Here is a 13,748-nt window from a genome sequence, read left to right on the forward strand (position 1 = left end):
CACTGCATAGTGTCTATAAAAGACTCAAGTGATAGATTATTCCTGCACTTTCACTCTCTTCTGTTGGGCAGAAGGGCGATGGGCTTATCTCACTTTGCTAGTGACATGAGCTGAATTTGGGCTAGGTTGCTTGTTTTACTAAGGCTCAGATGGCAGAGGATGAGAGCAGGGACAGCTGCATAGGGAGGTCACAGAGATCTGTGTGGAGATGTCTCTGAGCTCTTTTCCAATGGCTAGGATGCTTTTGATTAGGAAGGGACTATGGGGAGTCTGCCGTGGAGCAGCTGCTATGGATTTGGGAAGAGAATAAAGGTGCTAGAGGTTAACGGTGGCATCAGAACGTTAGCCTAGCCAGACGAGGAGAACTTGGACGCCCTGGGCATCTGACTGGAACACCAAGGAGCTCACAGCGCTGGAGGAGGGACCTTATTCTAGAGTCAAGACTCCTCTACAGTCACCTTAACAAAGTCTAAAATTAATGAAGCACTTTAAAGATAATTTAGGATTTGGAGATTGAATCTTGCCAGCTAGAAGGGCTTGGATTTTCACAGACCTACACCATAACAAAATATGAAAACAAGACTGCATTTAAAGGCAGTCCACTTGTAACTGAGTTAGGTTCTAGAAAAAATATCCACGGTCTTCTGATGATTATAACAGAATTCAGAATTTCTAGAATGTGTGATCACAACATCCAACGTACAATAAAAATATTATTAACAAAGCAAAGAAATAGGATGGCCCAGGTGTTGGGATTAGAAAACAAAAAATTCAAAGCAGCTAATATAAATATGTTAGAGAACTTTATAAAATTAATTTTAATGAATGAACAGATATGAACTGCCAACAAAGGAATGGAATTTATAAATAAGAATAAAAAAGAAATTCAGGACTAAAATCCTTAACAATTTAAATGAAAAATTCATTGGATGGGTTAAATGGCACACTGGAAATAAAAGGAAAAATTTGAAATAATTCAATACAATCATGCAAACTGAAGAACACAGAAGAAATGGAAAAAATGAAGAAAAAGGTGTCACTAACCAATGAGACAACACAGCACAATATCCTTGAGTCCCAGAAGGAGTAGATAATAAGAATGTGGTAGTAAAAATTATTTGAAAAAATAATAGCCAAATATTTCCTGAATTTGAAGAAAAACATTACGTAGAGATCTAAGAAGCTTAGCAATAACTTAATAGGATAAATACAAGGAAAACGTCGTGTCTATGCAGATTACATAAAAAAACAAAGATGAAGATCAAATCTTGGAAACAGCATAAGCAAATAAACCTACAGAGGGCCAGCAATATGCATGACGCGACTTCTCATAAGAAACAACAAAGGCCAAAAGATAATAGAGCAACCTTTAAAGAACTGAAAGTAAAAAACAAAAATGATGCTAACCCAGAATTTTATATCCAATACATACTGCTCGAATATGGCTGCAAAAATAAAGACATTTTCTGATAATCAGAAGTTGTAAGAGTTTGTTTCCAGCAGAACTGCATTGAAATAAATACTAAAGAATGTGTTTGGGGCCGAAAGGAAACTATGCCAGATAAAAATTGGTATTTACAGGAAGAAATGAGGAGTTTAATACATTAAATGTTTACTACATTAAATATATGAGTCAATATAAAAACCATCTTTTTTTCAATTAATTTTGTTCATAGACAGTTGATGTGTTCAAGGCAAAAATAATATGACTCCAAGGTAGGGGGCTTAACATGTGGAAGTAAAAGGTATAACAATAACAGCACAGAGGACGGAGCCAGGTTAATCAAATTAAACCTTGTCAAAGTTCTTTCATATGTGAAATATGAAGTAGGAAGAGTGGAGGGCCAGGTGTGAAGTGATACAATGTTAATGCTAATTATACTGGGATAAGGATGAATATTGTAATCCCTAGAGTAACTACTAATATAATAACAAAGAGGTCTAGCCTAAAAGCTAATAGAGAAGACACAATGGAATGCTGAAAAATATTCCATTGACCTAAAATAAGACAGAAAAGGAGCAACAGAACAGCAAAAGCCAAAGGAAAAAATGGAAACAATTGGTCAGAAGGCAGATTCACACCAGCCCATACAATTAGATTCCGAGGAAATGGACTAGAGGTTCTAATCAGAAAGCAGAGATGGAAGCCTGGATTGAAAGGTAATGCCCACCGGCATAGCATGTAGACAACATGAATTTTAAATACAAATACGCGGAATGCAAAAGAAAGGAAAAACACAAACTCAGCCTCTCTCTGTTTTGCCCTTGTTCGCCTCAGCCCTGAAAGACTGTGGGATGTTCCTTGTTGCCCTTCAGGGTCCCAGAGCCAAGACTCCAGCCTCATTGTCCAAGGAGGCTCAAAACCTAGTGAATATCTTGATGGGAAGACTTGCAGTGCTTTGAGGCAGATCCCCTGACCTCTGGCCCACCTTTGTTTCCTGAACACAAGACTCCTCAGGTGATTTCAGCTGACTTTTGGAAGCATCAGGCCTAGCTCTGAGCTGCATCCACAGTCTCCTTGCCTGAATCAGCAAAGGTCCCACGGCAGAAACCGGTTGTGTGCTGAGGTAGCTCCAGCATGCAGCTCCCTGCTCCTGCCCTATTCAATGGCTGCAAGCTTCACTAGTTAGAGTTTCCTCCAGCAGGGCTGGGCCAGGCACTGCCACTGATCTAAACCCAGAATCAGCAAATGTGCCCATTGGGAAAGAATAGCTTGCAGGCCTCAGCTCACCTGGGCAGGGCTCTTTTGGGTCTGGAATTTTAGTGCCTTTAAAAATATGATTTAAAAAATTTATTCTGCTTATTTTAATTACTGCAGAAGAAGTATTTTTCTGTTATGACCTACTACATTCTACTCAGAAGAAGTTAACATTTTTCTTTTAATTCCAGAAGTGAATTCTGCTGTGCCCCTGCAAGGTGGAGTGTGTTCCCTTTAGCTGATAGTGCAGATGAAGGGACAGCTGGCTGAGCAGGTCAGGGTATGAGGTCCTTCCCTTAAATGACCGTCTGGTGTGCACTACAGGATTCAGCGTTAAGGAAATTGGATAGGAATGGGTGCAGAATGAACATATGTCAACTCAAGTCTGTAGAATCCTTCCAGAACCTTCCAGGGCAAGAGGCAGATGGATAACAGAGATTCCAGTTTCTCCAGTTCATGCTTCATCCACAGTGCCATGCTGTCTGTCTATTGGTTCAGTTTCAAAAGACACTTAGACTAACCGGAGAGAACCGTTCCTTTCTGGTTGGGGGAACATGCACAGTCCACGTGGCATTTTGAATGAGAGGACTTGGTTCCATTTGCAGCTCTGTAGTTTGAGCAAAGGTATGTAAGTCTTTGCATCCTCTGTTTTTCTAACTGTTAAATGGAGAAAAGAGAATCGTGTCTCTCTCGGGGTTGTAGTGAGGGCTAAACAAGTCAGAGTTTGGAGAAGGGCCCTGTGAGTTCTGCAGCCGTGGACTAGTAAAGATCTGCTCACCTTTAAGGCGCAGACACTTCTCTTCCTCAGGCGGACACCCACGGAAGACTCACTCCAGGAGAAATATTGCCTCACTCATTTTTATTCTAAATCGGTATTCAATTTCAGGATTCATTTATTTGATTTGAGAGTCTTTCTCTTGGATCAAAACAGCATCCAGAGGTCCGGCCTTCAGATGAAACGATCTTCAAGCAAGCAGACACAGCTTGCGCTCCCTCAGGACTGACCAGAGGCTGTGCTTTGGGGAACTCGGACCACTGCGAAAAATCTGAGAAGTGATGATCGTTCCAGGACTGATCTGACCACCCGGGGCGTCCAGCATGATTGGTCGGGGTCCTGCCCGCACCCTCTCACCCCTCCACGCAGAGGCACGGTGGGAGAGGCCCCTGCCCACCCCGGATGAGCCTGAGACTCCAGCCTGAAATGAAGTTGCTGAAATGAGCCCTTTCCCCAGCCGTTCAGCAGCCTAGCTGTTTTACCACTGAAATAAAGTGTCCAATTTATCCTGCCATTTTGAGGAAGCTGTTTTCAGCTGAGACTCCAGCTGGATTTATTTTTAAAAAAGATTATTCTGCAGACCATGGCCAGAACGTGCTGAGAGGCACCCTGGGCAGTTTTCCCTCTGGCCGGCTCTTATCCGTCCTCCCCAGCATGGGGAGATGAGGCTGCCTCAGGCGGCCCAGGCCAGGCAGCTGCCAGGGAGGCTGAGCAGGTCTGGGATGTGCCAGGCAGCTCTATGCCCAGCTCAGCTGGGAACCTGACCCGGAAAGGGCTGGAACCCAAGCCTCACCCTCTCCTGCTCTATTCACTGTGGTCAAGGGAGGAAAGAGACCTGGCGGCTGGGCTTGCAGACAGGCTTCTTGCCCCCATTCCTCTTCTCAGTTCTCGTGTATGCCTGGTGGGGTGTTGACAGGCCCCACTGTGGCTGTGCTGTTTGGCAGACTGCCCTGAGTCTCCCCAGTGCCCATCTCCCTGTAGTCCACGCTGCCCTGGCCTTCCTTGGCCTCCTGATGGCCCCTGAGTTTACTGGAGTCAAAGGGCCAACCTGCGGACTCAGCACCCTTTCTGCTCCAGGTCTGAGGTTTCTGCTGTGAGTGGTGGCACGCGTCACACCAGTTCTTAAATATCTTGAATATGACCCTGCTGGGAGCTGCCCTTGTTCTAAGACTGGGGATGGGGGCAGAGGAGGCAGGAAGGGGATGGAGCTGCTTGTGGTGGAGAATGGAGTCCCCGACCTTCTCTCGAGGCCAGCATCAGCAGACTTCTCCTGGAAAGGGTCAGAGAGCAAATATTTCAGACTTTGTGGGCCATATGGTATCTCTCACAACTACTAAATGCAGGCATTGTAGCAAACCTTCCATAGACAGTCGCTAAAAGCGTGGGCTTGGCTCTGTTCATTGTGGCCTTGTGTTCCCATAACACTTTCTTTACAGACGCGGGTGGTAGGCTGGATTTGGTCCCAGGTTCCTGCCCACACCAGCCCCAACATGGTGCATGCTGCAGGAAGGCCAAGGAGGGGGCCCTCCCAGTGTGACAAGTGCACAGGCTGTGAGGAGCATGAGGATGGCTGATGCCGCTCTCTGGGAGTGGGAGAAACCTGCTTTTCTGCATCCTAGCTTGTGACTTGTCACGTGCCCATAATGGGACACTCTGCCTGCCTCTCGCCATGGCCCCCCGCTGGCCACCTCCTTAGAGTTCACAGTCCAGAAATACGAGGAGCCCGTGGTGGGAGGGGTCCTCACTGCCTCTTTCTCCTGCTTTGTCTGCTTCCCACCCATGAAACCCTCTCCCTATTCACACCCATTGACTGGCTTCTTTAAATTAGAGGAAATTTAATTCCATACAACATGCATGTATCAGATATCTACCTTGTGTTATGCAGTGAGCTGTGCATTGGGGGTACAGCCAGGAAACAAAACTGTAGTAACAGCAGCAAGGTCAAGACAGTAGTGAAGTCACTGCTGAAGGCACAGCACTGGCTGGGGAGCTGGGGCCAAGCAGGTGGGCCTGGTTGCTAGAGGGTGGGTCTAGCCCCTTCCTGCTGATCTTCCAGCAAACTGGGCTTCCGCTCCATTCAGAGCAAAATAAGGCATCCGCACGTGGCTCAGTGTGGCCCTGGCCCCCGCTGGGGCACCCTCTGTGCTGTCCCTTACCCCGCAGAGGTGTGTCTGGTGGAGCTTTTCCACTTTCAATGGCTTTCACACACCGTGGTGCTCTTGGGCCTGTTACTGGCCCAGCCATGTCACCTACCAGCAATGCAGCCTTGGAAATGCGAAGTCAGCTCTCTAAGTCTTGGTTTCTTCACCTGCAGGTGGGGATCATCGTTCCTGTTTTGTAGCGTTGCTCTAGGATGAAATGAAGTCATGAGTGTGGAGCTCTTATGTGGTATGGAGCTTTCCTGCCACGTGGCAATCACTCAATCTGGGGAAATGGCCATTGCTGTAGGCTGAACGTTGGTGTCCCCCCAAATTCCTATGTTAAAACTAATGCCCAAAGTGGTGGTCTTAGAAGGTGGGGCCTTTCGGAATGATGAGGCATGAGGCACAGCCCTCATGGGTGGGATGAGTGTCCTTATGAAAGAGGCCTGAGAGAGCCCTCGTGCCCTTTCTACCACCTGAGGACACAGCGAGAAGACGGCTGCTTGTGAATCGGGACGTGGGCCTGCACCAGACACTGAATATACCAGTGCCTTGATCTCGGACTCCCCAGCCTCCAGAACTGTGAGAAATAAAATTTCTGTTGTTCTACCCAGTTTATTGTATTTTGTTTTGGCAGCTTACATGAGCTATAACAGGCCTGACAGCTGTCCTGTGAGGTCTGCAAAGCACGTGTTATCTTCTCCTTTTTACAGAAGAGTTAATGGAGACTTAAGAATAAAGCAACTTGTCCAAGTTAGTAAGTGGCTGAGTTTCCACACAGATCCGTTCCCTTAATAGAGATAAATCATTGTGTTATATCCATAGAATAGCACACTTTGCAGCTATTAGAAAGAACTGGGTAAACACTCTGCCCATACTGACATAGAGCCTAAGAGTGTGAAGCCCTTACAGCATCCAGGGTCATCACGCCCACCCTCCAGCCAAATACCCAACTATGTCTAATCAGGCCGTGGTGGTCTCAGGGCAGGCCCTGCCATGGGCTTGTCTTAGAGGCTGCTTTAGGGGCTGTTTCCGGCACAAGAGACAAAAGGGGAGCAGCAGGAGGGGCGGCCACCTCTGCTGGGAAGGAGGGGAACCGTCTTGAGGACAACAAATTAAACCTAATTAAATCTATGGAAATATTTGATTACACCTGTGTAATTTATTATGCAAAGTTGCTCTTTCTGACAAATGGAAGCTGCTTCGATAAGTGGGATTGTAACAGAAGGGTTTTCGTCAGGCAAACAAACCCAGCTGGGAGCCTGCCCATGGCTATCCTCCCTCAGCATGATACCCCATCATGCAGACTGGGGGAGAGTGCCCAGGGGAAGGAAGGCTCGGTGTCCTGTGTCCGTCGGCTCATGCAGACTGGGGGAGAGTGCCCAGGGGAAGGAAGGCTCGGTGTCCTGTGTCCATCGGCAAGCCATGAGACCTTAAGCAGGTCCTCTCTCAGCTCTGGAGCAGCCCGTCCAGCCTTCCTAATAAGAAGGGTCCTGGCATTTGCCCGGTATTTTAACATCCACGAAATGCCTTCACATCCATCATCTTTTGTGATCGTCATCCTAACACAAAGTTTGAAAAGCCCCTTACTACTACAAATGTTTTCATTGGACCAGTGTTTGTATATTCTTAAAGCCTTTCCTGACAGGTCCTCGCAATGTATCTGTGAAGTTATGGATGCCGAAGCTCCCCGATCCTTGCTTGATGATGAGAACAGGATAGGAGGGGCAGAAGGGCGGAGAGTCCTGCCACGTTACCCAGCAGAGCTGCCCCACTGTGGGGCTGAGATTGGAGCTCAGGGATTCTGCCCCTGTTTAGTGCCCTCCTTCTGCTGTTCTCAAGGTCTAAGTCACTGCCCTTTAGCCAGCATGGACTTCTGCTCAGTTCCTCTGCTTAGCAGTGTCTAAGGGGCAGGAGGAGCAGGTGCTGTTTCTTTCCAGAAGCAACACGTTGCCGTCGGAAGAATAGGGGTCTCATAGGACTCCTGGAGCCTGGTTTCGGGCCTGCCATGCATTAGCTGTGAGAACTGTGGTGTTAAAAGTACTCATCACTTTTGAACACCCACATGAGTTGGGTGTAGTCCGTGTTTCTTAACACTGTGAACTGTTGCTATGAAGCCTGCTCTCCCTGTAAGGAAACCGAGGGTTTGAATGGGAGGTGGTGTGCTCAAAGCCCCAGGCAGGCTAGCAATCGTGGAGGCTGGGATTTGTCTCGGGGCATCTTTGGGCCAGGCAGCCTCCTCACTGCACCAGGCCTGCAGGAGCTTGGGAGCTCAGGGCAGGGGAGTGGGGGCACTCCAACACCCTGGGCCTCCTGTTCCCTGGAGGAAGCTGAGGGACATGGCCACAAGGGCCGGCAACTTCTGCTTCAAGTGGAGGAATGCCCTGAGGAGAGCAGGAGCCCCGCACTGGACCTGGGGAAAGCTCTGGTGATGCACTGGCCCCACATGGCTCGGTGAGTCCCTGAACCTGCTGGGTGGGCCTGGGGAAGGCGCCCTTTCTTCTGCTGGCTTTAATCAAGACAGGCCCCACTCACTCAGCAGACAGGAAGCCTGCCCGGCTCCATGTTAGGAAGAGCAATGCATTATAGATCATCTCCTGAGACTCTCATCTTACCGACAAAGACACAGAGGCTCAGAGAGGTTAATTAATTTGCCTAAGGTCACACAGTAGGTTAATACCCGACTAACAGAACCAAGTGCAGGCCAAGGTGTCCTGGCACCTGGTCAAGAGATGTCTCTATTACCCGAGCTTCCAGATACCTCCCCTTCTGGTGGTAAAATTGCCAACAGAAGGGGCGAAGCTGTAAAGGTATTAGGACAACTCCATTTAAACCAGGGTTTTTGACACAGTCTTTGGAGGATCTCATGTAGAACGCTCTCCAGGGCTAACTTCAGTGCAAAGCGTGGAGCTCTCTGCACTCCCCATGCATCCCCAAAGGTCCCCTTATTCCAGGATCCAAAAACTCCTTCTAAGCCTCAAAAACCCGCAGCAGGACCAGGCTCTGATTTCTTCTGGGACAAAGAACAGCCCCTACTGGGACTGCTCCAAGTATGGAGCTGAGAGAAGAGAAAGCTCGTTCTGGGACTGGAGTTGCATTTGCCGTAAAGGGGAAGGGGGCCTCTTGACAAGCGCGGGAACCAGCTACAATCCGTTGGTTTAACTGTTTTCCTTCATCTCGTGTGTTGATGCTTATTATTCGGTTTGTTATCTGATGGTTGTTTAATCTATATTTTGTAATTACTCCCCTTCTGTCTTTCTCTTGGATGGTCATGCTTTTTTGCTGTCGCATTGAGGCACTGACCTACATTTCCGCAGGCACGGAAGCCAATTATTTCAAGTGGTGTTTTGTGAGGCGACTCCCTGGCTGTGATTTGGGGGCCCTGTCCCTCTGGTTTGCAGCCCTCCCTGAACTTACTCCACTCACTGGGATCCCTGAAGCCTCAGAGGCCAAAGAAATAGGAAGGACTTGCCTAGCTGGCCGCTTGCTTCCTAGGGGGTGGGAGGGCAATGGTGGGGATGGGAGTAAGAGAATAAGCTTGGCAGGCAGGGGATGGGGGGTCTGGGGAGGGGCACGGCAGTGTGATGGTTTCAGGGCTCAATTCACAGCAGGCAGAGTCTGAGTGAGCAGTTGCAAGGCTGGCCATGTCTGCTTGAGCTGTGCATTGGAAGAATGGGGACCGTGTTCTCCAAGAGAGAACTGTGTATGTTCTAGTGCACTTACAGGCAGAGTGGAAAACCTATTTAAAATTGGGGCTTCTCAGAAAATCCAGGCCACGCTGTTGCTATTCTTAGGTAGCCCCTTGGGTTTCTGAAGGGAGCATAAAGGGAGAGAGAGCTCTGTGGCTGCACTGCAGGCCTGGCCTTGCCATTCCCATGCGGTACAGTCCGCCATCACTCAACCTTTCTGAACCGAAATTGGGATTTATCATGAGGATGTTAATGCCTCAGAGATTACTGTGAAGATCAAATGGATTATACTGCAACTAGCCCTTCACTCTCCTGGGCAACAACCTTAGTATCTGAACTTAGGAACTAAAAAGATTAACTAAAATGATATTTTTTTCACATCTTAAAAAAAAACTGCTCTCTTAGTACTTGCTATGTATAACTCAAGAACCAGCAGATCCAGATAATGCTGTCCTTGTTACCATAACCCTCACTCTGAAGCCAGGAGTCAAACGGAGCTGGAGTGCGCAGGGCCTTGTGTGTGAAAGTGCTTTGTGGACTCAAAGTGCTCACAAATATTGGTTTATGCATTCAGTCACAGAACACATGTTTGTTGAGCGCCTGCTGTACCACAAGCATCCTGGCGAGAGCTGGGAACACACGGTAAAGGAGATCCCAGGGTCCCTGCCGTGCCGCGCTCACGGGCACTGGGGAGAGACTGACAGGTAAAGCCAGGCAGTGCGGCCACCGCTCCCAGAGGATGCGTCCAGCCTTTCTGCACCCCTGGGGGCGCCTGTGCTGAAGAGATGGTGAGTAGGCAAAGTCAGGGCATGGGAAGGTCTCTAGGCACACAGATTCATTCATTCATTTGTTCACTCATTCATTCATTCATCCAAAAACTATTTGCTGAAACCTGCTGTTCCCGGTGCTGCAGGTAGGGAGGGTGTGGTAGGAGAGGGAACTGCGTTTGCCCCATGGAGCTTGCTTTCTGGCTGGAGGTATGTACTTGTTCAGGTAATGCGAGGTGCTGTAACAGATAAAGCCCCAAATCCCAGTGGCAGAATGCTACATAAATTCATTTTGTATTCATGTAAAATTCAGAGCGTGTTCACGGAGCTCATCTGCATGAAGACGGCAGAAAGGGGAAGGGAGCCTGGAGGATTGTGTGTGTCTCCTGTGTCACCCTTTGCAGGGGCCTCTGTGGGTGTCTCTCTGTGTGACGGTGTGACTGCCCCTAGGACACTACAGCCACCTGCTGGTGCTGATCTGGGAGGCCAGGCCTGCAGGCACCCTGCACAGATGCAGTGGAGCTGTGCGGGGCATGTGCTCCCAGGAGTAGGGCCAGAGGTGAGGGTTTGGGGAGGTGCGGACCTTTATTGAGTTTGACAGGCAATGCCTTCCTCAGGAATCTGTATCCATCGCATCCCAAGGTCCTGACAGGGTGGAGGCTGCCTATTTGTCATTTTGGGCTCCCCTTGTCCTGGGAAATCCCTGTACAGTAAGAACACAGCCACTTGGGGCAGTGAACTGGTGGGGTATGTGGAGAGGGGAAGAGGGACAATGGGGCTGGCTGCCCCTCCCGCCACCCTTCCCCACAGTGGCAGCTCAATGCCACGCACCCCAGCCTGGCTGTCTCTTCATATTCCGTGCTATGCAGAGACCATTGTGAGGCTCACTAAACTCACCCATTCTGAAAGTAAATGAGATAAATAACCCTTGATAGGGCAGTGGTGGCAGCACACTGCATCAAATCTGGCGGCTCTGTCATTCGCAGAGCTGGAGGAGACTGCAGTCCCAGGTAGAGGAATCCAGCAAAGAGTGTTCCCGTGCTGACTCATAGGGCGCTGTATCTGAGCCTTAATGACGGCAGATCAATGGTCTAGAAAGTACAATCCTTTTCCTAGTAACCAGACAGGCACACATTCTCTCCAGACTCCAGAAGGGAAGCACCAACAATTTTCAATTAGTATTTTACATCCCGCTACTTTGTAATTACAAACAATTAGATCAGAACACAGCACAGGTGACACACACGCAGCCGCGCCTGCAAGGGAAGTGGCTCTGGCAGGGCTCGGTGCCAGCACCCTCCCTGCAGATGGAATCTCTCTCCTGGAGCAGAGGTCTGTGGGTGGGGAGCTCTGAGGGGTGAGCCCTGTGGAAGGTGCCTCATGCAGGTCCAGGGTGGCAGGTTCAGAGGGGGCTCAGTTACTGCTGAGGCCTGCGGGTTGCTGTGGGAGGGGCCACCACCCCCTCCCCCTGCCACACAGCCGCACCCAACTGTGTGCCTGAAGACTGGAGCCCCAGCCCTGTCTCTGTCCTGGTCAATAAGGCGCCCTCTTCTCAGCCTGAGTGCCCGCCTCCAGCCTCAGAGTGGGCATGAGTATTCCTCTTTTCTGTCTCCAGGGGCTCCTGGGGGCATCGGGGCGAGCCATGGGGGTGGCAGCCTGGTGTGCATCCAAGTTGGTGCTTCTCAAGGGTGAGCTCCTCAGGCCACCTGCGCTAGCTGGTTGGGTACTTGTTACACCTGCCAGTCCCTGGGCCTGGCCCCAGACACACTGGGTCTGAATCTCTGCAGGTGCGGCCTGAGACTCCACAGACCAAGTTCCCGGGGTGGATCTTTCACACACGATGGGCAGAATGACAGCCTACGGAACCCCACTAATCCCAAGAACCTATGAATATGCACCTTAGGTAGCAAAAGGGGCTTTGCAGATGGGATTATGGTTACGGATGGGGATTACCATGGATTATCTGGGTAAACCCAATCTAATCACATAAGTCCTTAAAATAAGAGAATCCTTACCAGCTGTATTCAGAGGCAATGGGGAAGGTGTTTTGAATGACACTCTATCAATTTAGCTGGTAACTACTGTCCCAGTTGCTGAGAGGCTTGGACGAAAGAGCACCAGCAGGGAGTCCATGTCCATGGGGCTTCTGGGACCTCGCCAGTCCTCAGAGGTTGGACCGTGGGCATGGTGTCAATGACACAACCCTAATGTGAAGATTTAGGAGTTTTTGGCACTTACAGATCTGAGGGAGTACATGGTACATGGAAATCAGGGGCGCAGGCGGAGAGAGAAAAGAGACCTCTTGGCCAACGCCTTTATTGGGCCCCGTGTGTTATCCAAACAGTGCGTTATCCAAACAGTGCATTATCCAAACAGGTTTCCTGTGGGAGCTTTAATCGGTGGGTTCAGAGCAAGCAGGCACAAGTTCCAGGAGGTCATACTGTGAATGAGAAGTGGTCCCTTTAAGTTCAATGGCAAATGTCTGAATGGTCCTTTTAAAGAAGTGTGGGAAAGCAAGAGTCCAGCATGGCAGGCAGGAGAGATGCCTCTACATTTTATCTCTGGCCCCTGGCTGAAGCCATTGGGTGGGGTATAGTATTGGGAACTGTGTCAAGGGTGACAGAGCCCTGCTTCTTGTATGAGAAAGTTAAACTTACTATTTTTTTTTTTTTTGAGATGGAGTCTCACTCTGTTACCCAGACTGGAGTGTAGTGGCCCATCTCGGCTCACTGCAACCTCCACCTCCCAGGTCCAAGTGATTCTCCTGCCTCAGCCTCATGAGTAGCTGGGACTACAGGCACGTACCACCACACCTGGCTATTTTTAAATTTTTTATTTTGCCGTGTTGGCCAGGCTTGTCTCAAACTCGAGACCTCAGGTGATCTGCCCACCTCGGCCTCCCAAAGTGCTGGGATTACAGGTATAAGCCACCGTGCCTGGCCTAAACTTACCATATAAACATGGATGCGAAGTCAGCATACAGTTGCAAGCACTCACTATAGAAGGGTCAGAGATACAACATGAGAAGGACCCCCTGACCTTGCTGGCTTTGAGGATGGAGGAAGGGGCCAGGGTCTAAGGATGGAGGGTGGCCTCTAGAAGCTGGGGAAGGCAAGCAGAGTGGGCTCTCCCTTAGCATCTCCAGAAAGAGATGCAGAGACCTGTGGTGTGCACGCACCTGAGACCCATGCTGTGCTGGACTCCTGATCTGCTGGACTGCAGACAGGGAGTTTGCAGTAGTAAGCCACTACACCATGTGACTTGCTGCGAAAGCAGCAACGGGAACCAGACACACACACTGGGTTCCTCCTGCCCTCCCCCCTGCCAAGGGTACATTTTACATTTTTAAAATTAATTAATTTATCTTAATAGACTTTACTTTTCGAGCAGTTTTAGGTTCACAGAAATACTGAGTGGAAGGTACAGAGAGTTTCCGGATACCCTCTGCCCCAGTACATGCACAGCCTCCCCCAGCAGCAACATCCTCACCACAGTGGAACATTTCTTACAAGTGAGGAGTCTTCACTGACATCATCATCACCCAAGGCCCATGGCTGACATCAGAGCACACTCTTGGTGCTGCGCATTCTTTCAGTTTGGTGGAAGGTATAATGGCACGGATCCACTGTTACAGTCTCATGAGGGACTTTAAGAACCACAGTTTCTAGATAAACTAAC

General features: G+C 49.3%; 3 annotated features.

The window, feature by feature from the left end:
• Positions 3,649 to 4,259: an enhancer, noted in NCBI's record as "H3K4me1 hESC enhancer chr11:134442592-134443202 (GRCh37/hg19 assembly coordinates)". NCBI's record gives its function as "activates a minimal SCP1, AML or CMV promoter by ChIP-STARR-seq in naive H9 embryonic stem cells {active_cell/tissue: H9 hESC(naive)}" and the evidence as "EXISTENCE:reporter gene assay evidence [ECO:0000049][PMID:30033119]".
• Positions 6,411 to 6,911: an enhancer, noted in NCBI's record as "H3K4me1 hESC enhancer chr11:134445354-134445854 (GRCh37/hg19 assembly coordinates)". NCBI's record gives its function as "activates a minimal SCP1, AML or CMV promoter by ChIP-STARR-seq in naive H9 embryonic stem cells {active_cell/tissue: H9 hESC(naive)}" and the evidence as "EXISTENCE:reporter gene assay evidence [ECO:0000049][PMID:30033119]".
• Positions 6,912 to 7,412: an enhancer, noted in NCBI's record as "H3K4me1 hESC enhancer chr11:134445855-134446355 (GRCh37/hg19 assembly coordinates)". NCBI's record gives its function as "activates a minimal SCP1, AML or CMV promoter by ChIP-STARR-seq in naive H9 embryonic stem cells {active_cell/tissue: H9 hESC(naive)}" and the evidence as "EXISTENCE:reporter gene assay evidence [ECO:0000049][PMID:30033119]".

Source organism: Homo sapiens, chromosome 11 (genome assembly GCF_000001405.40).
Source record: "Homo sapiens chromosome 11, GRCh38.p14 Primary Assembly".
Classification (NCBI taxonomy): domain Eukaryota; kingdom Metazoa; phylum Chordata; class Mammalia; order Primates; family Hominidae; genus Homo; species Homo sapiens.